This window comes from Homo sapiens, chromosome X (genome assembly GCF_000001405.40).
Source record: "Homo sapiens chromosome X, GRCh38.p14 Primary Assembly".
Lineage (NCBI taxonomy): Eukaryota > Metazoa > Chordata > Mammalia > Primates > Hominidae > Homo > Homo sapiens.
In genome coordinates this window covers 73446333-73471689 of record NC_000023.11, presented here as the reverse complement: position 1 = coordinate 73471689, position 25357 = coordinate 73446333, and the positions used below count along the sequence as shown (strand labels likewise).

At 37.6% G+C, this 25357-nt stretch overlaps 1 protein-coding gene across 1 annotated transcript, besides 3 other annotated features; it reads right to left on the bottom strand.

Annotated features, from left to right (window-relative positions):
- Positions 1-16518: 16518 nt before the first annotated feature.
- On the bottom strand, positions 16519-24637 carry CDX4 (caudal type homeobox 4). Its single transcript, NM_005193.2, has 3 exons — positions 23935-24637; positions 18028-18173; positions 16519-17311 (listed from the first exon to the last, which is right to left on the bottom strand). Exons 1-3 carry the CDS (start codon positions 24434-24436, stop codon positions 17105-17107), a joined length of 855 nt encoding a protein of 284 aa, NP_005184.1. The 5' UTR covers positions 24437-24637; the 3' UTR covers positions 16519-17104.
- Positions 17095-17699: an enhancer, noted in NCBI's record as "NANOG hESC enhancer chrX:72673827-72674431 (GRCh37/hg19 assembly coordinates)". NCBI's record gives its function as "activates a minimal SCP1, AML or CMV promoter by ChIP-STARR-seq in primed H9 embryonic stem cells {active_cell/tissue: H9 hESC(primed)}" and the evidence as "EXISTENCE:reporter gene assay evidence [ECO:0000049][PMID:30033119]".
- Positions 23613-24277: an enhancer, noted in NCBI's record as "H3K4me1 hESC enhancer chrX:72667249-72667913 (GRCh37/hg19 assembly coordinates)". NCBI's record gives its function as "activates a minimal SCP1, AML or CMV promoter by ChIP-STARR-seq in primed H9 embryonic stem cells {active_cell/tissue: H9 hESC(primed)}" and the evidence as "EXISTENCE:reporter gene assay evidence [ECO:0000049][PMID:30033119]".
- Positions 24278-24943: an enhancer, noted in NCBI's record as "NANOG-H3K4me1 hESC enhancer chrX:72666583-72667248 (GRCh37/hg19 assembly coordinates)". NCBI's record gives its function as "activates a minimal SCP1, AML or CMV promoter by ChIP-STARR-seq in primed H9 embryonic stem cells {active_cell/tissue: H9 hESC(primed)}" and the evidence as "EXISTENCE:reporter gene assay evidence [ECO:0000049][PMID:30033119]".

Genomic DNA, 25357 nt, shown 5'->3' with positions numbered 1-25357 from the left:
AATCCTAAATATGTACACCCTACATTGAAGCATCCAGATTCAAAAAACAAGTTCTTCTTAGCATATGAAAAGACTTAACAACACAACAATAGTGGGAGACTTCAACACCATACTGACAGCATTAGACAGATAATTGAGGCAGAAAACTAACAAAGTTACTTTGGACTTAAGCTCAACACTTGACAAATTGGACCTATAGACAATTATAGAACACTCTACCAAACAACCACAAAGTATACATTTTTCTCTTCTGCACATAGAACACACTCTAAGATTGGCCACATGCTTGGTCATAAAGCAAGTCTCAATAAACTCAAACAAAGTTGAAATTATAACAAGCACACTCGTGAACGATAGTGCAATAAACATGAAAATCAATATCAAGAAGATCTCTCAAAATTATAGAAATACATGGAAATTAAACAACCTGGTCCTGAATAACTCGTGGGCAAGCATAAAAATTAAGACAGAGTCAAAGAATTCTTTGAAATTAATAAAAATAGGGAAACAATTGACAAAAATCTCTAGGATGCAGCTAAATGAAAATTAAGTGTGTTAAGTGTTAAGAGGAAAGTTTATACCCCTAAATGCCTTCATCAAGTAGTTAGAAGGATCTGAAATTAACAACCTAATGTTGCACCTAAAGGAACTAGAAGAGAAAGAACAAAGCAACCTCAAGGCTAGCAGAAGAAAAGAAATAACTCAAATTAGATAAGAACTTAATAAAATTGAAATGCAAAAATTCACAAAAAGAATCAATGAAAGCAAGACTTACTTTTTCAAATAAACAAGATTGACATACCACTAGCAAGACTGATAAGGAAAAAAAAAAGATCCAAATATGTATAATCAGAGATGACACAGATGACATTACAACTGACCCTACAATAATACAAAAATCCTCAGAGAATACTATGGACAACCCTATGCACAGAAATTAGAAAATCCAAACAAAACAGAGAAATTATTGGAATCACACAATCTCTCAACATTGAATCAAAAGAGATTGAAACCCTGAATATACCAATTTTGAGCTCTGAATTGAATCAGTAATAAAAAAAAATAACAAACAAAAAAAGCCCTGGACTAGGTGGATTCATAGCTGAATTCTGCCAGAGGTATAAAAAAGAACTGGTACAATCCTACTAAAACTATTCTAAAAAATTGAGGAGGAGGGACTCTTCCTTAACTCACTCTATGAAGCCAGCATAATCCTACCATCAAAATCTGGCAGAGACAAGATTAAGAAAGAAAACTTCAAGCCACTACCTCTGATTAACATAGATGCAAAAATTTCCAACAAAATACCGGTAAGCTGAATTCACAAGAACATCAAAAAGTTAATTCATCATGATCAAGTATGCTTTATTCCAAAGATGCAAGACTTGTTCAACATACACAAAATAACAATTGTGATTCACCACATAGACAGAATTAAAAGCAAAATGATATCATCATCCTAATACATGAAGAAAAAGCTTTCAATGAAATCCAACATCCTTTTATGATTTAAAAAAAAACCCTCAACATACTAGGCATTGAAAGAACATAGCTCAAAATAATAACAGCCTTCGATGACAGCCCCACAGCAAACATCATACTAAATTGATAAAACTGGAACCATTTCCCTTGAGAACAGAAACAGGTCAAGGATGCCCACTCTCACCACTCTTATTCAAAATATTACTGGAAGTCCTAGCCAGAGCAATCAGGCAAGAGAAAGAAATAAAAGGCAGCTGAATAGAAAAAGAAGAAATCAAAATATCTCTCTTCACTGACAATATGATTCTATACTTAGAAAACCCTAAGAACTTCGTCAAAAGTCTAGTAGAACTGATAAAATGATTTAAGAAAGGTTTCAGGATACTAAACAATGTACAAAAATTAGTAGCATTTCTATACACCAATAACATCCAGGCTGAGAGTCTAATCAAACACACAATCCAATTTACATTAACCCCAAAGAAAATGAAATACCTAGAAATACAGCTAACCAAAGAGATGAAAGATCTCTACAAAGAGAACTCAAAACACTCCTGAAAGAAATCAGAGGCAACACAAATAAAGGAAGAAACATTCTATGCTCAGGAGTTAAAAGAATAAGTATCATTAAAATGGTCACATGTTCCAAGGCAATTTGCAGATTCAACACTATTTCTATCAAACTACCATTGTCATTCTACACAGAGTTAGATAAACTATTCTAAAATTCATACAAAACCAAAAGAGAGTCAAAATAGCCAAATCAATCCTAAGGAAAAAAAAAAAAAGCTTGAGGCATCACACTACCCAAGTTCAAACTATAATATAAGGCTACAGTAAGCAACAGTGGAACACAACACAGAACAGAATTCTGCTGGTGACCATGGCGGAAACATTTAAATTATCTCTGGCCAGAGGGGAATCCTCTACTTTAGTGGTATAAACCTGAGTTCTGTCTAGCTCCACCACTGGCTAACTAAAATGCTCTGAGGTCCTGAAAAATTTGGAAAAGCAGTCAGGCCACAAGAACTTCAAGCATTGTCAGCTCTGGATGCTGAACTGGGCTCAAAGCCAGCAAACTTGGGATACATGTGACTCAGAGTGACAACAGCTATCGTGGCCAAAGGAGTGCTCATGTCACCTCTATCCCAAATCCAGGCAGTGTAACTCAGGGAGAGACTCCTTCCACTTTTGGAAAGGAGAGGAAAGAGTAATGATAATTTTGTAACTTGGGTACCTGCTCAGCCACTGTAAAATAAAGCACTAAGCAGAATCTTGAATCCCCTGATTCTAGCCCCTTCCTCCTGAATGACATTTCTAGATTGACCCTGGGTCAGAAAGAAACCTGCTGTGCTGGAGAGAAGTACCCAGTCCTGGCAGGATTCACTATCTACTGATTAAAGTGACCTAGGGCCCTGAAATAAACGTCAGTGGTAGCCAAGCAATACTAACCACAGGCCTTGGGTGAAACTCAATAGTGTGCTGGCTTAAGGTGTATCTCAACATAATCCCAACTGTGGTGCCCATGAGAGTGCTTGCATTACTGCTCTCCCAACTACAGGCAGCCTAGCATGGAGACAGAGACTCCTTCTATTTGAGGAAATGTGGAAAAAGGGAATGAGAGAATCTGCCTGGTGGTAAGAGTCTGCAAGAGTAGCATCATTACTGGGCTTGGGGCTTCCCCTAGTGCAGAATGGCTACACTGACCAAAAACTTAGATCAAAACACCTAATTTCTTTATAACACTTGGAAAGCCTTCTCAAAAAGAATGGGTACAAACAAGCCCAGACTGTGAAGATTAAAATAAATATCTAACTCTTCAATGCCCAGTCATTGGCAAACATCAAGGAAAACATGACATCACCATATGAACTAAATAAGGCACTGTAACCAATCCTGGAGTGACAGAGATATGTGACTTTTCAGATGGAGAATTCAAAAACAGCTGTTTTGAGGAAGCTTAAGAAACTTCAAGAAAACACGGAGAATGAATTCAGAATCCTATTTGAGAAGTTTAACAGATTGAAATAATTAAAAATTAAGCAGAAATATTGGACTTCAAAGATTGAATTGACAAACTGAAAAATTCAACAGAGCATTTCAATGACAATTGATCAAGCAGAAAAAATAATTAGTGAGTTTGAAGCAGGCTATATGAAGATACGCAGAAGAGAAAAATGAATAAAAAAGGAATAAAGCATGCCTATGAGAAAATATCCTCAAAAGGGAAAATCTAAGAGTTATTGACCTTAAAGAAAAGATAGGGAGAGAAAGATTGGGGTAGAAAATTCACTCAAAAAATATTAACAGAGAACTTTTCTAACAGACAGAATGATATCAATATTTCATGTACAAGAAGCTTAGAGAATAGCAAGAAGATTTAACTCAAATAAGACTACCTTAAGGCATTTAATAATCAAATTTCCATAGGTCAAGGATAAAGAAAGGATCCTAAAAGCAGCAAGAGAAAAAACAAAAAACATATAACATATAAAAAAGTTCCAATACATCTGGCAGTATACTTTTCAGGGGTAATCCTATAGGCCAGGAGAGAGTAGCATGATATACTCAAAGTGCTGAAGAAAAAAAACCTCCCAACCTAGAATATTATAATCAGTGAAAATATTCTGCAAACATGATGGAGAAATAAAAACTTCCCCAGACAAATTAAAGCTGAGGAATTTTATCAACACAAGACCTGCCCTACAAGAAATGCTAAAGGGAGTCCCGCAATCTGAAAGAAAAGGATGTTAATAAGCAATGAGAAATCATCTGAAGGTACAAAACTCACTGGTAACAGTAAATGCACAAACGTGGAATACTGTAACACTAACACTGTAATTGTAGTGTGTAAATCACTCATATCTTTAGTAGGAAGACAAAAAGAAGAACTTATCAAAAATAATAACTACACCAACCTTTTCAGAGATAGTATGAAACAATATAAATTAATACAATACAAAGTTCTAATATGGGGAGGTAATGGAGTTAAAGTGTAAAGTATTTATTAGTTTTCTCTTTACTTATTTGGCTGATTTTTGTAACAGAGTTCAGTCATCATCAGTTCAAAATAATTGGTTATAAGAGGTTATTTGCAAGCCTTATGGTTACATCAAATGAAAAAACCTACAACAGATACACAAAAAATAAAAAGCAAGAAATGAAAACATATTACCAGGGAAAAATCACTTTTTTTTTTTTTTGAGACACAGTCTCGATCTGTAGCCCAGGCTGGAGTGCAGTGGCACAATCTTGGCTCACTGCAAGCTCTGCCTCCCGGGTTCAAGCCATTCTCCTGCCTCAGCCTCCAGAGTAGCTGGGACTACAGGCGCCAGCCACCACACCCAGCTAATTTTTTGTATTTTTAGTAGAGACGGGGTTTCACCCTGTTAGCCAGGATGGTCTTGATCTCCTGACCTCGTGATCCTCCCGCCTCGGCCTCCCAAAGTGCTGGGATTACAGGCATGAGCCACCGCGCCTGGCTGGAAAAATCACTTTTACACAAAAGAAGATAAGAAGGAAGACAGAGAGGACCACAGAACACCAGAAAACAAGTAACAAAATGGCAGTGCTATGTCCTAACTTATCAATAATTACATTAAATTACACTTTAACTTCATCCCTTCCCCATTTTTGAACTTTTTATTGCTCCTATTTATATCTTTTTATACTACCTGACTCTTAAAAAGTTGGCGTAGCTATTATTTTTGATAGGTTTTTCTTTCTGTCTTCCTACTAAAGATATGAGTGATGGACACACTAAAAGAACAGTTTTAGAGTATTCTCCATTTTTCTGTTTAATTACTGTTACCAGTAAATTTAAGTAAACTAAAATCTCCAGTCAAAAGACCGAGAGTGGCTGAATGAATAAAAAAACAAGATCCAAGTATATGATGCCTACAAGAAATTCACTTCACCTATAAAGACATACACAGGCTGAAAATAAAAGGATAAAAAAAGACATTCCACGCAAATGGAAACCAAAAAAGAGCAAGACTAATTACTTATATCCGATAAAATAGATTTTAGGACAAAAACTATAAACAGTGACAAAGATGGGCATTATAAAATACAAAAGTCAATGCAGCAAAAGGATAAAACAATAATAAATATATGTGCTCAACACTGGAGTACCCAGATACATAAAGCAAATATTATTAGAACGAAAGAGAGAGAGACAGACCTCAACACAGTACCCGGAGATCACAATTTTTCACACTCACCATTGGACAGATCATGCAGACAGAAAACCAACAAAAAATTGGACTCAGTCTGCACTACAAATCTAATAGACCTAATACATATTTTCAGAACATTTCATCTAATATCTGCAAAATATACATTCTTCTCCTAAGCACATGGATCATTTTCAAGGATAGACCTTATGTTAGGACACAAAACAAGTTTTATAAAATTCAAAAACATGTAAATCATATCAAGTATATTATCATATTATCTGACCACAATGGAATAAAACTAAAAATTAATAACAGGAAGAACTTTGGAAACTATCCAAACACATGAAAATTAAACAATATGCTCCTGAATGACCAGTGGATCAATGAAGGAATTAAAAAGGAAACTTAAAAATTTCTTGAAACAAGTGAAAATGGAAACAAAATATACCAAAACCTGTGGGATACAGTGAAAATTGTACTAAGAGGAAAACTAGTGACAATAAGCAACTACGTCAAAAAAGTAGAAAATCTTCAAATGAAAAGCCTAATTATGCATCTCAAAGAATTAGAAGAGCAAACCAAACCCAAAATTAATAGAAGAAAAATAAAGATCAGAAGAAAAATAAATAAAATTTAAAAAAATACAGTCAACAAAATAAAAAGTTTTTTTGAAGAGATAAAATTGACAGACCCTTAGCCAGACTAAGAAAAAAGAGAAGACCCAAATAAATTAAATCAGAGATGAAAAAGGAAACTTTACAACTGATACCACAGAAATTCCAAGGATCATTGGAGACTACTATGATCAGCTACATGGCAATGAATTGGAAAACTTAGAAGAAATGGATATATTCCAAGACATACAACTTACCAAGATTGAACCATGAAGAAATTCAAAACCTGAATAGATCAATAACAAGCAACAATATTGAACCCATAATAAAAAGTCTATCAAGGAAAAGCCCAGGTCCCAATGGCTTCACTGATGAATTCGATCAAACTGTTAAAGAGCTAATGCCAATCTTATTCAAACTATTATGAAACATTAAAGAGAAAGGAATACTTCCAAACTGACTCTGAAAGACAAATATTACTCTGATACCAAAATCAGACAAAGACACAAGCAAAGCAAAGCACAGGCCAATATTCCTGATGAGCATTGATGCAAATATCCTCAACAAAATACTAACAAGTCACATTCAAGAATACATTAAAAAGATTATTCATCATGACAAGGGATGCAAGGATGGTTCAACATACACAAATCAATCTATGTGATACATCACTTCAATTGAGGACCAAATAAGAATAAAAGACCAAAACCATATAATCATTTCAACTGATGCTGAAAAAGCATTTGATAAAATTCAATATCCATTAATGACAATAACTACTCTCAAAAACTGGATATAGAAAGAATAGAGCTCAACATGATAAATGCCATAATTGACAAAGCTATAGCTGTTATCAAACTGAATGGAGAAAAGCTGAAAGCCTTCCCCCTAAGACCTGAAAGAAAAAAAGGATGCCCACTTACACAACTGTTATTCCACTTAGTACTAAAATTCCTAGCTTGAGCAATTAGACAAGAGAAATGAGTAAAATGCATCCAAATTGGAAAGGAGGAAGTTAAATTATCTTTACTTTTAGAAATGTAAACTTATATCTAGGTAAACCTAAATGCTCCACCAAAAAAAATCTGAACTGATAAACAAATTTGGTAATGTTGTAGGCTACAAAATCAACATACAAAAATCAGTAGCATTTCTATATGCCAAGAATTAACCATCTGAAAAAGAAATAAAAGACTAATCCCATTTATAATAGCCACACATAAAATTAAATATCTAAGAATTAACCAAAAAAGTGAAAGATCTCTATAATAAAATCTATGAAACATTGGTGAAAGACATTGAAGACATCAAAAAATGGAAATACACTCCATGGTCATAGATTGAAAAAATCAATACTGTTAAAATGTCCATACTACCCAAAGAAATCTACAGATTCAATGCAATTCCTATGAAAATACCAATTACATTCCTCACAGAAATAGAAAAAGCAATCTAAAATTTATATGGAACCAAAACAGACCCAGAATAGCCAAAGCTATCCTAAGCAAAAAGAACAAAACTAGATAAATCACATTAACTGACTTTATATTACAGAGGTATAGCAATGAAAACTGAATGGTACTGTCATGAAAACATACACATAGACCAATAAAACAGGACAGAGAACCCAGAAATAAATTCACACGTCTACAGAAAACTCCTTTTTGACAAAGACGTCAAGAACGTACACTGGAGAAAGAACAGTCTCTTCAATAAGTAGTACTGGGAAAACTGAATACCCATATGCAGAAGAATGAAACTAGACTCTTGTCTTTCACAATATACAGAAATGAAACCAAAATGGATTAAAGACTTAAATCTAAGACATGAAACATTGAGGAAACTCTCCAGAATATTTGTCTGGACAGCAATTTCTTGAGTAAGACCTCAAACACACAGGCAACAAAAGCAAAAATCGACAAATGGGATCACATCAAGCTAAAAAGCTTCTGCACAGCAAAGAAAACAATGAACAAAGTGAAGAGACAACCCACAGATTGGAAGAAAATATTTGCAATCTAACCATCTGACAACGGATTAAGAACCAGAAATTATAAGGAGCTCAAACAACTTGACAGAAAAAATAAATAATCCAATTTTAAAAATAGGCAAAAGACCTGAATAGACATTTCTGAAAAGAAGACATACAAATTGCCAAGCATATGAAAAAAATGCTCAACATCATTAATCATCTGATAAATGCAAATCAAAACTATAATAAGATGTCACCTTACCCCAGTAAAAATAACTTTTATCCAAAAGACAGGCAATAATTAATGCTGGTGAGGATGTGGAGAAAGAGGAACACTTGTATACTGTTAAGAATGTAAATTCATCTAGCTACTATGGAGAACTGTATGGACGTTCCTAAAAAAACTAAAAATGGACCTATTATACAATTGATCCAGCCATCTCACTCCTTCAGATATATAATCTCACTCTTTCAGATATATAATCTCACTCTTTCAGATATATAATATCTGAAAGAAAGGAAATAATGATATTGAAGAGATATCTGTACTCCCATGTTTATTGCAGTACTATTCACAATAGCCATGATTTGGAAGCTACCTAAGTGTCCATCAGCAGATGAATGGATAAAGAAAATGTGATGCATACACACAAGGGAATATTATTCAGTCATAAAACAGACATAAAATCCTGTCATTTGCAACAACATGGATGGAATTGGAGGCAATTATGTTAAGTGAAATAAGCCAGCCAGAGAAAGACAAACTTCACATGTTCTCACTCATATGCGGGAACTAAACATTAAAGCAATTGAACTCATGAACATAGTAGAATGATGGTTATCAGAAGCTAGGAAAGGTACTGGGCAGGGTGGAGATGTGTAGTAGAGAGAGGGGGACATAAAACGATAGATAATGTGTGCAAAAATATAGGTCAACAGAATGAATAAAATCTAGTATTTGATAGCACAACAGGATGACTGTAGTCAACAATAATTTATATATTTTGAGATGGAGTCTCACTCTGTCGCCCAGGCTGGAGTGCGCTGGCGCGATCTCAACTCATTGCAAGCTCCGCCTTCCGGGTTCACGCCATTCTCCTGCCTCAGCCTCCAGAGTAGCTGGGACTACGGGCGCCCACCACCACGCCCAGCTAATTTTTTGTATTTTTAGTAGAGACGGGGTTTCACTGTATTAGCCAGGATGGTCTTGATCTCCTGACCTTGTGATCTGCCCTCCTCAGCCTCCCAAAGTGCTGGGATTACAGGCGTGAGCCACCACACCCGGCCTTTATTGTATATTTTAAAATATCTAAAAACATGAAATTGGAAGATTCCTAACACAGAGAAGTGTTAAATGCTTGAGGGGATGGATGCCCCAATTATCTTGATGCGACTATGACACATTGTATGCCTGTATTAGAACATCTTACGTACCCTGTGAATATATACACCTATTATGTACTCATATTAATTAAAAATAAATTTTAAATGGTTTTAATAGTAAATTTTATGTTATGTATATTTTGTCACAATAGAAAAAGGACTACCAGCTCAACACCCTGGGGCCAATTTTTGACAGGTTTTGTTTCTTTCAACAGTTTGAAAGTGTCATTCCACTCCTTTCCGGCCTCCATGGTTTTTAATGAGGAATCTGCTATTAATTTTATCGAGGATCTCTTAGATGTGACAAGTTGCTTCTATCTTGCTGCTTTCAAGATTCTCTATTAGCCATTGACATTGAATAGTTTCATTATAATGTGTTTCAATGTGGACCTCTTTAATTTTCTTCTACTTGAAATTCATTGAGCTTCACAGATGTATATATTCATGTCTATGATTAAAATTGAGACTTTTTTGCCATTATTTATTATTATTCAAAATATTTATTATTTATTCAAATATTCTTTTTGGTTGTTTTGCTCTATTTTCTCCTTTTGGTATTCCCATGATGTGTATGTTGTTAAACTCCATGATGTGTCATAGGACCCTTAGGTTCTGTTCATTTTTTTCTTCATTCTTTTATATTCTATAGACTGGATAATGTCATTATATAGACTGGATACTATCATTCCATAGACTGGATAATGACCAGTTCCATAGACTAGATAACATCAAAAGACCTATCTTCCAGTTCACTTTTTAAAAAATTTTAGTTATTGTACTTCTCAACTCCAGAATTTCTGATTGGTTCCTTTGTAAATCTCTATTGTTACCCTCCATTTGTTCATATATAATTCTGTCTTTCCTTTAGATTTTTTTCTGTGATTTTCTTTTCTCTTTGAGCATATTTAAGGTAGTGGATTTAAAATTCTTGTTTATTATGTCCTATGTCTGTGCCTTCTCAGGGGCAGTGTCTGTTAATTTGTTCTTTAAATGGGTCATACTTCCTTGTTTATGTTTCCATTATTTGGCAATTTTGTTGAAAACTGAACATTTTGAATATTACAATATAGTAACTCTAGAAGTCTGATTCTTATTCCTCTGCTCAGTTTATGCTGCATGCAGTCACTGTAACTGTTTGTTTGATACTTTTAAAAACTATTTTTGTAAAGTCTACATTTATTTGTCATATGGGATCTAGGAAGTCTCTGTTCCTTTAAGTGTGTCTGCTAGTTCTGACAGAGGTTTCTTTGAACAGAAGAAGAGCGGGGAAGAAAGGGGAAAGAGAGAAAGAAAGAAAAGAGAGAGAGAGAAAGAGAGAGAAGGAGCAAGAAAGGGAGAAAGATGAAGAAAAAACCCTTCTCTTAGTCTTTAGAGTTGGCTCTGTATTACAGCAGTGCTTAAATGCTAGGAACTAAAATTATAAAGTAGAGCTTAGTGTTGGAAAACAGGAGCGGCCTGAAGTCTGCTTCCTTGTGAAGAAAGATTGCAGCAACCTTGGTTTAGTCTTCACTCTCTGCTTGCACTGGGCCTAGAGATTAGTCAGAAGTGAAAACTTAACATCTTCTTAAGTCTTTTACGAGCTTGAATCTTCCCTTGGTCATTTGTGTCACTTTTTAAATTTCCCAGTACACACAAGCAATTTTAAATGCCCTAATTTCCCAAAGAAGCTCTCTTCCATGCTTTTCTTTCCAGGCTTTTGTCATTCTATTGTATGTATCAACCATAAATGTTTGCTCCAGGCAGCTTCAGTTATTTGTTAATGTTACAATGGTTTGAGGACTACCCATCACTTTTCAGATCTGAGTAAGTTCTGAATTAAGCAAAATATAGACAAGTACCTTGCATCAGTCCTTCAGGTATCCTCCAAATAGGTTAGAACAAACAAAGTTCTTTGCAAATAAGATTGTTTATGCTCCCTCCAGAACAAGGCACCAAAGTTCCACACTGGTAACATGAGCTTCCATTTTTAAGATTGTCACTGAACTGGCAGGGGGGTGAGGCAAAAGACAAGTAAAAATGTCACAAAGCTTTCCTATTGCCTTTAAGTTGCACTTTTCTTGATTCAGCATTTACTTGGTTGCTGAAAACCTTTGACTGTTTTCCAGAGCTCTGACCAAGTTGATTCTAACAGGTTCTGATTGATTTTTTGATGTTTTTGTGAAGGGAAGGGCGCTTGAAGCTGCCTACTTTGCCATTTTGCTGACACTGCTCTAAGAGTGATTTCTTTTTCACTAAACATTTTATGGAACTGATAAAAAGTGGTGATCAGTTTAGACTTGGTTGGAAGGGCCCTTGTAAAGGCTCTGTATTCATTTTCTGTAGCTGCCATGACAAATTACCATAAACTTGGTGGCTTAACAAAACATAAATTTATATTCTCATAGTTCTGGAAGTCAGAAGTACAAAATCAAGGTGTTAGTAAAACTACTCCTTATAGATGCTCTCGGGGAAAATTTGTTCCTGGCCTCTTCCAGCTTCTCTTGGCTCCAGGCATTACTTGGCTTTTGATCACATCACTCCAATATCTGCCTTCAAGTTTACATTGCTTCCTTTTCCTCTTCTGTTTTAAATATCCTTCTGCCGCTATCTTATAAGTATACGTGATTGTATTTAGGGTCAACCCAGGCAATCCAGGATAAGATTCCCCTCTCAAGTTCCTTAACCTAATCATATATTTTATCACAAGAGATAATATGTACTCTTTTGTCGTATTCAGAAGTTATGTAGATTAAGATATGGACATGCCTTTCGGGAAACCACCATTTGGCTCATTACAGGCTCCATTTTACATCCACTTTTCTTTTGTCAGGCAAGCAGAGACTGTGATGGAAAAAGAAAAGGGATAATTTCCCCCTTTTTCCTAAAAGGGGTTTGAATTCCTTCTTCCCTTATCTATAGGGAAGAATAAAATATGTGTGCTTAAGTACAACTAAAGGCAAACTTCTAAAGTCCAAGTAATTTGAATTTATTGATTTATGATATACTTCTCCTGTCTTGGGGGTTTATTCCTATTTGGGGGGACATTTTCATGTGATCCATTTAGAGCAGGCCTTTCTAAGGCTTTTCTGGTTTTAAAGGGATTAGAGAAATAACTTATGGCAGCTTAAGTGCATTTCTTTTTCAGTGATATTTGTATTTTAATTAAAGATCCACAAACCTAGAATTTTGGACGTTGGTGAGATTAAGCTCAAGGTTCACATTTTATAGGTGGAGACATGGGGACTCTGAAATCAGAGTAGGCCCTCATAGTAAACTCTAGAAGACAGAAAAAGTCTTTGAGACCAAAGGGCTGACTCTCCCAACAGTGATACTTTAAGCCCTGGGAAGCCAAGAAGGAAGGTGTATGTGTGTGTGTATATGTGTGAGTTTTACTTTGTATGAGTGGTGGGGAAGTGGGAAAGCATAGAGTCTTCTCAAAATGTCATGTAGAAATTAGAGCTAGAATAAACCCTTAAAGCCAAGTCAAATCTTCAGATTTTACAAATGAAATTACAGTGGCCCGTATTGGTGGAATACTTTTTTGACTTAACAAAAAATTACACAGCTGTTTAGTTACAGAATTGGGTAAAACTAGAGCTTCAGGTCTCACTTCCCAACTCAGTACTTCTTACACCATACCACATGAATATCTGCTTTTTTTTTTTTTTTGAGACAGAGTCTTGCTCTGTCACCCAGGCTGGAGTGCAGTGGCACAATTTCGGCTCACTGCAAGCTCTGCCTCCCGGGTTCACGCCATTCTGCCTCAGCCTCCCGAGTAGCAGGGACTACAGGCGCCTGCCACCACACCTGGCTATTTTTTTTTTTTTTGGTATTTTTAGTAGAGACGGGGTTTCACCGTGTTAGCCAGGATGGTCTTGATCTCCTGACCTCGTGATCTGCCCACCTCGGCTTCCCAAAGTGCTGGGATTACAGGTGTGAACCACCACGCCTGGCTGAACATCTGCTTTTACTAACAACTCATAATATTGTTCCTGAAGGCACTGCAGTAAGGGACTTCTTTGCTTTGCATTTTTTCACTTTGAAAATTCAATCCTTACATAACCTGGTCTCCCTCTGTCTTCCAAACTCATTCCCATGATATGAGAGACCCAGTGATTATCAATTGTTGGTGTCCTTCCTCAGTAGCACATTTAGACATGAACATACAAGCAAGTGATCTCTACCTGGGAAGGTGGGGCTGAACCTAAGTTATATAAAGTGACTATAGACTAAACAGTCTAGCGATTCCCTCCCTTCTTTTTTGTCACCAGGGTTGCAACAACTCTGTTGTTTTTTGCAGCTTTCTTAGACATAATTGACATACAAGAAACTACAAGTATAAAAGTTGATGAGTTTTGACATATGTATACACTCATAAAACTGTCAGCAGAATTGATAATAAATCCATCACCCCCAAAATGTTCCTTGTTCCCTGTTATAAATACATCTCTCCCTTCTACCACCCTCCTCCCTTGCTGGCCCCTCATTCTCTTCTTGATGTAATACAGTAGTATTAAAATGTTCCAACTCAGAAAAGCAGCCAGATTCTCTGGATCTGAGCCAAGAGTGGAAAACTTTCCTTGGGCCTTGCTTCCTTCCTTCTTTGAAAAGAAGCCAGATCCTCCCAAAGACCTTTCTTTGCAACTCCACACAAACAACTCCAAGGGCCTTAAGAAAGTTACTGGGAAATTGGAATACTTGAATAAGTTGCAAAGAGGATTCTAAAGTCTGCAAATTACTTGAGGATGAACTGAAGAAATATTTGGGAAGGAAACATTGTTTCCCTATTATAAAACAGAATAAATTTTAGTGATAATAAAAGAAGAAAATCCCTCATAATCCCACTACCCTAAGTGAACACTGTCAGTCATTTGGTATGTTTTCATTCTTGCCGCTTTCCCCGTAAAAAAGAAAAAAGCCTTTATTAAATACTTTGAATGCAACTTTTGAGCTTCAGTGTTTATATTTCTTTTCTCTACATACCTCCAGCATAAACCACCATAAGCTAGAAATAAAAGCTTGTGGTCGTATACTTTTCTTAGGTCTCAGAGAATGAATTAACATGTATTCTTAGAGGGAGTGGCCGCAATATGCTAGTCAAAACAAAAGCTCCATTTTGGTTCTATTTGCAGATTCTAGAGAATCAGAATCTATACAAATAGGAAAATGTTTTTTTCTTTGGGAGAAAAATTGTTTGCAGCAGGAAAGAGAAACTCCTGAGAAAATCCAACTGATATAGCCAAAGTTATACCTTTTGTGGAGTGGGCACTAGGATGACAAAATTAAGTTCTGAGTGTACATAGACAAGTAACACTTCTCATCTCTCCACTAGATTGGAAGGACCCATTTCAATGCTGATTTTCTATGTTCTGCACTACAGATGGCCTGCCAATCAATTAGCATGCTGTGTAGTTCACCTCAAATTTACTGGAGGCGGTGAGTGGAGTAGAATATGTGTTTTTCTGGGAGTCAAGAAACCCTAGCATAGTGCCTGGTAGAGTAGGCACTCAATAAATATTCACTGAATCAGCAGACCTGAGATCTAGTTTTAGATTTTGCCAACAACTTACCGAAAAAAGTCAGTAACTTTTTGAAGAGGAAAGAATTTAAATTGATCTATCCTTATCACCATCCACCAATATGTAGATGTGGGCTAAGAGAAGTAAATTAGTTTATCAAAGATTCATAAGCGTTTCTGGTCTCTAGCTTCTCAAACTACAAAATAGGGGTAGCAATTCTTTCATATCTTGTGAGGATATTGGATCTAATAAAATAACAGGTGTAAAATTGCATTGAAATATATAAAAATATTACACATATATAGGGCATTATTAAGATTATTAGTAGAAGCTTCAAACTCACTAATCAGAAGGGTAAGGGAGCTGGAAAACAAGAAAAATTAGGCTGCATTCCTAGGTGGTCATTACCCACTGACTGGTGTTTAGGGAGCTGTATGCACCTGCAGTAGCATAATCAGATACAAAATGCAAAGAAAGGGATGCTTTGAGTTTAGACCTATCACTAGAGACCAAGGAAGATCATCCTAAGTAGCTAGGGGTTCACATCAGCATCCACAATATCCTTGCTATGTATCTTTGGAAAGTGAGTTGATTGCACACATCTCAGTTTCCCTATCAGTAAAATAGGGCAATTGATACCCTCCTTATAAATGTGTTTTGAAGAATATAATTCCAAGAGGTTGGATCAAAAATGGAAAGGTTTTTTTTCCCTTAAATCTTTTCAGAACTAATGACGTGCCTTCAGGAGCAGCCAGGGGAAATGAAACCTCTTTCTGAGATTTTCATAAGAAAAGGGAGGATACATTTCTTACTCCCAACTCAAAGACAGATAGTTGTGCTCAAAATTCTAATTTTCTTAAGAACAGTGAAAGTGCATCTTGAAAAGAAAAGTTGAACCCTGGTGGCTTTTATGCTTTAATCAAGCTTTCCTTTAAACCATCTCAATTCAAAAGGACTCACAGCCTAGTCTTTGGCCACTACAATATGCAAACAGTATGCTGGACCCACACTAAAAGCTCTAGGCAACCTGCATCACTACAACCCCTTTTCTTAGTCAAGCTGTGTGTTTTTAACCTGTAAACTGCAGCTCCTTGGATTATAAACCAGTAAACTGCATTGACATGACATAATGTGGGTAAAATTGAACAGGTTGAAAGGTGATGGCAGGTACAGGTTACATAACAGTTCACTGTCTTGTGCTTACGCAAGTCTGACTGGAATGGGAATGGAGAGACAGAAGAGGGGGTAGAGTTTACTCTATGAGTTGGAGATGTGCCTTACTCAACCAAGCTGGCCTATTTTGTTTTAGTCTGATTTCATTGTTTTGACAAGATTTTAAAATGACACTGCAAGTTGAAAGTTCTGAGATAATTGATGCCAGACAAGTATGATTGAGGGCCAAAATTGTCTTTTTTATTGGTTATTCTTGTTAAGCAGTGACAATGGAATCAGAATCACCTTCTGATGATTTTTAAAACATTTATCTTATTATAAAAATTCTGTTAGCTTTTGAATTAAACACTTGGAAAGGTAGCTAAAGATAGATAAACTTCGGTTTACCTTCTTCTCACTCCTTAAAGATAGCATAAAAGAAAACACCTAGCATCAAATAACAAACAGAAGTACACATACACAAATGTGCTTTCTGGCAAAATTGTATTTTACAGTCTATTCATAAGCAAGTTTCTGAAATTGTGAACAGAGTTGGAAGGGCCTGTGATTCTAGCTTTTAATTATATACCTTACCACTAAGATTCCTGAGTGACTGACATATAGCACAGCACGTGACAGGAGTTTTCTGGGGATAGTTTCTAAAAGTAAGAGTCCCCTAAATTATCTTCAACCCATTGTGCATCCATCTGTTCCAAATACTGCCTTACAGGGAATTACACCCTGCTCCAACTCCCCTGTAGATAGCTTAGAGACCCAAAAGACATCACTAAAAAAAGGGCACTTTAAATTTCTCTTTGCTTTCTTTCATTCGGAGACTATAACCTGCTGTATCTCAATAGGTTGAAATCCACGAACAGCAGATGGTGTGGTGAAAAAAGTGTTAGGTAGTTCCCCAGGGCTGATGGAGTCAGAGTCACTTTGCACCGAGCCTCCACTATTCTCAAACTGGGAGATTTTCTTTTTGATCATCTTTCTCTCCTTGGCTCTGCGATTCTGAAACCAGATTTTCACCTGAAACACAATGGGGCAACATACTGAATGCAGTTAACTTAGTGATTTCTGATATTGTACAGAGACTTTAGCATTTACAAAGCCCTTTCATATGCATCACTTCATTTCAGCCTCACAATGACCTTGTGAAGTATGCCCACTTAACAGGTTAGAAAAAAAGCTTGAGACTTAGAGAGGGCAAGTACCTTGCATGAAATGAAACTGAGATCCAAGTCTAGGGCTACTAACTCTGAATGCAATAATCTTAATATTATACCTTACCCACCTCCTCTGTTGCACAGGTAGAAATAAATAATGCTGGAATGACAGAAGCTGAGGTGTGCTGATAAGAGAGAGAGATTTAAATAGCAAAGGTAATTATAATCAACCATTTCTATGTTTTATTAATATTTCACTAAAGAGAAACGTCCTATTAGTATAATATTAATAAAATAAAATAGAAAATTTATCTTCCTATTAGTATACTATTACTAATAAGAAGTTTGTCTTCCTATTAGTAAAATATTAATGAAACACATAAATGAGAGAACAAGGGTGATGAAATATTTTATATCTCTTGCTGGAGATAGAAGAGAGCGATATCAATGTGCCTTCACACGTGGTTGAAATGCAAGCTACTTGGGATAAGGCAATGCATTAAGGGACTTTACAATTCTAGAATTCTGATTCTATTGAAATGGACTATACGGGACATGTTGGATATACTTCTGGTGTACCTGTCTCTCGGAAAGGCCCAGGTTAACTGCCAGCTCTGATTTTCTCTGGATGGTGATATATCTATTGCAATGGAATTCCTTTTCCAGCTCCAATCTTTGATGATCAGTGTAAACTACACGATACTTTTCTTTTGTCCTGGTTTTCCCTGTTAGGAGAGAAAGCATTGCATTTAATCTTTTTCTGCTTCTTGGAGATTGTTTTAGTTAAAGAAATCATAGACACTCTTCCCACCCTCATCTTTGCTTTAAAATATAAAATAAGTATATTTTTGAATCAAATATTCATAAAAGTCAATTTCTCCATTAAATACATTCTCATCTGTGGCTATGATAGCAATATCTCTGTCTACCATCTATAGACATAGACATATATCTCTATATCTATATCTCTCCTTATATATAAAACCAACATCTCTTTAATTAATGTTTCTCCTAAAATGATTGGTCAAATCACAATCATCCCATCTTGACCTATTTTCACAGCAGAGCATTGAAAATGCTTAAACACTTTAACCCATGGTGTTTATTACCTTCCCACTTACATATGTGATTAGCATTGGCAGTAATAGCAGCTGTCCATTATACAGGCACTTCCCACTACATTTTATGCAGTCTTTTCATACTGTTCCTATTAAACCTCTTACCTACCTTCTTGAATTATGCAGAACATGTCTTATCTCCATTTTACAGATAAGAAACATGAAGCTCAGTTAAGGTAAATGACTTTGTGTTAGAGAATTGAGGAGTGGGGACCCAAACACATATCTTTGACTCCTATTTAAGTATGCTAACTAAATGTTATTCCAAGTTCAAATATGCTGGGACGCATAATAATGGCCCAAGAGTGGAAAACACTTGTGGGATCCTAACATTATAGTTACATAATTTCCTAGAGTTTGGTTTGAATAGTAATTTAAAAAGAAAACATTAATTGTCATTTAGCAGATTCTGTTTCAGAAAACCCCATTACCTATTAGAAAAAAAAATAGTTTTTATGTGGGAGTCTTAATTTTTATTACCAAGTAGGTAGTGAATGGGGGAAGGAGGAGGTGTTGACTTAAGCAGAATAAAGTGAGTATTCCATGCCCTTTGAAAGGATATACAAACATTTGCTTTGTGTTACAACATTTAACTAATTCCTCATGCCCTCCTTCGAATAGAGCTTTATTCCTCCTTTCAAATTTTCCAAAGATACTTAGGAAGTTCTCTTTTCTTTTTAATTTCTCTACCCTCCTCCAGGATCTTCCTCCTTTTCTCTATGGCTTTTAAATACTCCTTCTGATCTTCCCTGGTTGTTTTTTATGTGATTTTTTGGGGGCGATCTGTAGGACAAAGACGTCTTTAAAGTGGTTCCCTAAACTCCACTGAGGTGTTAAGATACAGCACAGGCCTAACAAAAGAGTTACATAGCATCAGATCCCATTCTGAACCCTCTTTACATTCAGGAACACCAGCCAATTGGTTCAGAATTTACAAGCCCTAAACAAATGTCAGACACCCTTTCATCTCCAGAAAAGGAAAAAAAAAAAAAAAAAAAAAGGACACCAGTGAAGAAATAAATTTTAGATAAGTGATATATTTTAAGATTAATCTAAATGGCTAAATAATGAACTGAACAAAATCTCCTTTTCCCGCTCTTAGAAAAGGAAAACTATGCGGTCCAGTCAGTTAACCTACCTTAAAATCCTAAATTTTGAGCTGGTTTTCTGAGTCTAAGCAAAAACCTGGAAACCGTAAGTCTGCCTTTTGGCATGTTGCAAAGACAGAATGCATATTTAGAGAAAAAAATGAAAACTTGGAGATTTAATTTATTTCTAGAACATCAAATCTTGAGATCGAAATGTATCTTTGAAATCATGTTTTCTAAAACCCTTCTTAATCTTAAAGTTGCTGAGTGTTTAAATTATAACTTGAGGCAGACTGGTTAAAAATTCAACTTGTCTTTATCCATGTTTTATGCTCTTTGATAATCAATAAACATAATCAGACATCAATAACTCTGGAAATGTTGTAGTCCTTCCCCACCCCCATTGGTCATAAATTCCCCTCTTGCAGTTTCTTCTGAGGACAATAAAGTCAAGACCAGGCCCCTTTATTTGCCATAAAAATCCTACCCTTTCCGGCAATATAACCCCTGAAGAAAGGAGGGATAAGGAAGATCCTGGCTGCATATCAAAGCCATGTGAAGTGTTAAAAAGAGTCTGTTGCCAAAATCTGACAGATAAGACCTAAAACTCCAAGAAGATGTAGCTCAGGGGAAAAAACTGACTGCACAGTTTACAAAGAGAAATAAATTTGAATTTCCTGGTGCTCCTTTTGTGTCCCGCTCCTCAAATTGTCTCTCTCAATCCCATTGCCCCTTCTTCTTAAATGATGAAACCAGATAAAATGATGAAACCAGAACAGATGATGAAGGGGATTTGGACATTTTCTGGTAAAGCATAATGTCCATATTCCCATACCCAAGCACCAAAAAAATAGCACTAACAGAACTAACTTTTATTGTTCAAGCTGTTCTCTTCTTCCAGAGACTATGACATTTCTGAGGGTGATGGGCTCCATTTTCAGCCATTATTGAGTTTATTTAGGAAATTAATACTATCTATGATGTATTTGCCTTCTCCTCAAAGAGTCAGAAAAACTTCTGTAGTTAAAGATGGATGGAGTCCTTCCCATCCTCCCAACCACATTATCTCCCCAGAATTCACAAGCAAATGTCATAATATATGATAACTTATCACCCTAAATAAAATTAAAATGGTGTTCATTTGAAAGACTGGCTGCAAAAGTGCTGCTAGGCAGAAAGTCACTCTCCAAACATAGAGGTGATGATGATGGGAGTGAATGTAAAGATTATGAAAATGAATATTCTTATGTAGGGAGTACTGTCTAATGGACTCCACTGTGAGGACTTTTCATCTTATGGTAATATTTCACTGTTTTTAGCTAAAAATTGCATCCAAATTCATTTTTAAAAAGTTGTCCCATGAAATGAGCAAAACCAAGGGACAATGATAACTCTCAAGAATTATTAAGCAACTAATTTTATGAAGTGTCCTTATTGAATAATGCCTTTCAAGCATAAATTCCTTCATGTTGTCCAGTGGCTTAAAACAATCAATCAGAATCAGAATCAATCACAATTACTTCCTGCTCTCCCCCTCTTTTCCACTTCTAACAGAAAAGCCTCTCTCCAGCCTGCTTAGGTTATCACCTTGCCAATGTTTAAAATGTGAAAGTGCATGAAAATATTAAATTTTCCATAGAAACTTTTCTGTCATATTCCTTTTTGCATAATATTTAAAGTTAGATATGTATAGAAATAGACCACTTAGAGAACTAAGTGGAAATAAACATGCCTTCTTTTTAAATCAGGTCACTTAGGGAACAGTCATTTACTCTATCTGTCAGCCTCCTTGCTCTCATTAGAAAATAACATGCTATAATGGTCGCTATGAAATGTTTTCTGATTGTCCACTAATACATGCATTTTTTCCTTTTTTACATTTATTTAAGACATTTTTCAGTAATGGAAAGAACTTTCATCTGACTACCTTAATCAAGGGTTACTTCCATATTGAAGTTCATCTTTTCCTCTCAGTCATAAACCATATGTTATCCCACAGTACTACAGAGTGAAGTGGAAAATTTAGGAGGATCTGACTCATTCATTCATTAAACAAATATTTAAGACCCACTATGTACTAAGCATATAAATGGGTGCATTTTGGTCCTGAGTGGGTGGCCTAGTGAGGTGATCAGCTTAATTTTTTTCGTGGGGTTTATAACCTGATGTCCCTTGAAAGGGCTTCAATGGATCCATGAATCTCCTAAAATTATGTAACAAATTACTTGTGTTTGTGTGTGTGCTGCTGTGCCTTTGTGCATTTTTTCTAGGGAGATAACCAAAGTTTTTCATCATATTCTTAAATTGCTGCTAAATATGCACCTTAGACTATAAGAATACAGCAAAAGGGTTATTTTCATTTATAAGACATTAAAATGAAACGAAGTTTTAATTTAATGAAGCCTCATCTATAGAATAGGCTGCCAAAAATCGAAATGGTTCCAATATCATTCCATTTTAAACTTCTCATAGAAATTGGATAGAAAATCTTGTGACGGTGCCATTGTAAAGTCAGGTTTGAGGGTTTAGCTCAAAGATGCAAGAGACTAAGGAGCCCGTTTCGAAACCTTTCCTGGCATTAGAATTGCCCAAGAGAGAGACTCAGGCTAATAAAAGCAAATGTAAACGGAAGACCTTTAAGCAGATAAAACTGTCATATTTTTCCTCATAAATAGAAAATTCAAGGCTGGAGATAATTTCTTTTATCTCATCCATTTCCTCTCTTGTTCTCTATTGCAAACAGCACGCCAGTGACTTTCCTCTTAATGTGTTTCAAAACATAATCCTAGACTGCGAGCAACTACTTTTCTAGCTTTTGTGTCTTTTGCTGATTGTTAGGGTTTAGTGAGTGGATGTTAATTACAACCCCGAGATTAGATGTAATAAAAACTCTGGGAGTGCCCCACCCTAACCTCTTTTTCTATTCTACTTAGTCGACAGACTCACTCATATTTTTTTAAAATGCAGATTTACTTGCAAACGCTTTAAAGCCAAGTATTTCAACTCTACTTTTACCTTGGGATCGCTACTCTAGTGAGGTTCTAATACACAGAACTTCCTCTTCCTGGCTAAAAGTTCTCCTAATGGTAAAAATGGGTCACTTCCCACCCTCCTGTCTTTGCTTTTTGGAGGAAAGACAAAGTGCAGAACTGAGAACAGGAGCATAATCATTGCGGACAAATGCTATTGAAATGCCATTTCCTCCCCAGAGGGATGAAAATACTCAGAGTCGATTTTTACTAATTTTCTCTAATGACAGGGAGCGAGGGTTGGAATAATAAGAATGTAATAAAAGAACAACAGTTGAAAACAAACATTCCTCCCCCAGCCCCGGTTAAGATTAAAGTGGAACGGCCACTTCCCTCGCCCTGGCTCCCAGCAGTCGCCCACTGGCTTGCTGGTTAGGCTGTGATCGCGATCGCTTTGACTTCTCTCGCGCTGCCGCAGACCTGCATTCAGCCCCCACGCCTGAGAGACGCCTGCTTTGATAGTTATGAGGGCTTTAGCCATTTATTAGTGCTGGAGCTGATTCGTTTGCGTGTCGGGCGGGTGTGAGGGTTAGGTACCGTATTATGTACCAGGTCAGTGCTGTAGCCTTCTCGCCTGCCTCAACACTTGGGTTAGAAGAAAGGACGTTGTAAGATGGCAATGGATTTTAGGCCAATTTGCCTCTGCCAACTTGTAGGAAGGAAGCTGGAGCTTCCCTGAGAGGCCAGGGTGAAGAGGTTGCTTTGCCGTCGGGGACTTAGTGGCTAAACTGGAGGGTCCGTTGCCAGCCAAGCACTGTGAACCTAAATTGAGCATCACCAGCTTTGGGGGCGGGGAGGGGGGAGACAGCCCGCTCAGATGGGTAAGGGTTTGGAAATGGAACAGTCAAGCAGCAGTGCCTGAACAACGGGACACTACAGCTGCCCTCTCGCTTCATTCACCCGTTGAGCTTTCTCATGCATCTCTTTTCCCATGTGGGCAACTACAGGGTTGCATCCTGATCCTTGTGGCTTAACATACCCATTGTCCACTCACTCGCTTTCTTCATGGAGCAGCGAAAGGCGAAAATCACCTCTAGGGTAGGTTTAGTCCCAATCGCTGCACTCAGTGAGTGAGTTTTGAGCCCAGGCGAATGCGAGGGAGATGCCTAATAGGCCAGCCAGCCATATAGGGGTCGCCTCAGCTAAGCCCTCTTGGGAGAGGCCTGAGAAGTACGAGGGCAGGCCGACCAAGAGAAGTAGCGGAGAAGGGAAGGAAGGAAAAGTGTGTGGGCATTGGAATTGATTACTCACCCGTCACCTGCACCGTCTTGCGCATCCATGCATAGGGGCTGTGGCGGCTCCTGCTGGGGGAACTGGCCTTGGCGGCGCCTGCGTCCGTCGGGACAAGCGACCCGCCAGCCTGGCCTGGTAGGCTGCTGCCGCTAGTTCCACCGCCCACAGGGCCCAAGTTGCTGTAGTCGGTCGAGCAGAAAGCGGCGGGGCTAGAGGTCACGTCGTTCACCGGCACTGTGCCCATTGTACTAGACGGCCCAGGATACACGCTCCAGTCTTCTCGCGGGGGACTGTAGGGTGAGCCCCAGACTCCCAGAGACGGCCAGTGAGGATCCATGCTGGGCATATGAGGATACCCCATATAGTGCGAGAAAGCCGGTGCCGCAGCGAAATTGGAGGCTGGCATCGGACTCCCACCGCCCCCTGTGCCGCCTGTCCCAGCTGTGCCGTCGCCCCCAGGGCTCATGAGAGTGCCCGGGTACATGCCTGCTTCTTTCTCCAAAAGACAGCTTCCGTACATCGTGTCTTGGGTAGAAGGCGCTCCCTAAGCCATCCTGAAGTCCCTGTAAGGCCCCAACTCGACTTTGAGAAGCAGCAGAGAATAAACTTATCAGTACGTAGTTGTGCCGCAAGCTCTTTTGCACCCCTCAGGCTACTCCATCCCACGTTTCTTACGAGGGTATCCAGGTGACTAGCAGCCCTGTATAGATAGGCCACCAATGGCTGGGCTGACGTCAAGGGGCTTCAGGCTTTTACATAGCATTTGCATTCAAATGAAGGGCCATTTCACTTTCACAGGAACTTGTTCACCCACTCCCCAAGCTCCCAGGCCTTTCTGTCTCATCTTTCTTGATTCTGTCCATCTGGTCCCCATAGCGTCAGTATTGTGCTTTTGGGGACAGGAACTCCTCCAGGGATTTCTGACCAGCTCCCCTCAAAGTCAGATAGAGACCTGCAGAAACCGGGCAAAGTTCCGCTCTCTAGGATTCAGTCCTTACACCGCGGCCTCCTCCCTTTCACCGATCTTCCCGCGTCCAACCTGCATCTGCAGTCTCCTTCTGCCCAATTCCCTCGCAGGGGTTTACTGCATGGCACTGGCCCAGGATGCCAATGAAAAGAGCTTTCCCTTACTCTCCTTACTCCCTCCATCAAGAGGACGCCTTTGTTTCCAAGGGCAAAGATTCATTTCACAACTCTCTGTTGAGCGTCTACTGTGTGCCAGGTACTGTGTAGGCATGGGGATACAGCAGTGAATAAAAGACAAAAATTCTTGCTCTGCCTTCCTAAGATTACACTGTAGTGGATGGCAGGCTGAATTAATAGAACGTTGTTTACAAATATGCACAAATTAAAGAAAGATGAGTAACGTAGGTTATGCAAAATGGTAGGAGAGAGAGAGAACCATGTGGATAATAAACTTTCCTATTTTCATGTCAATCCA

What these genes read in the sequence shown, in the direction of transcription:
- CDX4 (NM_005193.2), bottom strand. Translation starts at nt 24,436, where the DNA reads ATGTACGGAAGCTGTCTTTTGGAGAAAGAAGCAGGCATGTACCCGGGC. An exon ending in CAAGACGGTGCAGGTGACGG is followed by an intron (nt 18,174 to 23,934) that starts GTGAGTAATCAA and finishes CTCTCCTAACAG; the next exon opens with GGAAAACCAGGACAAAAGAA. An exon ending in TGGGCCTTTCCGAGAGACAG is followed by an intron (nt 17,312 to 18,027) that starts GTACACCAGAAG and finishes ATTGTGTTTCAG; the next exon opens with GTGAAAATCTGGTTTCAGAA.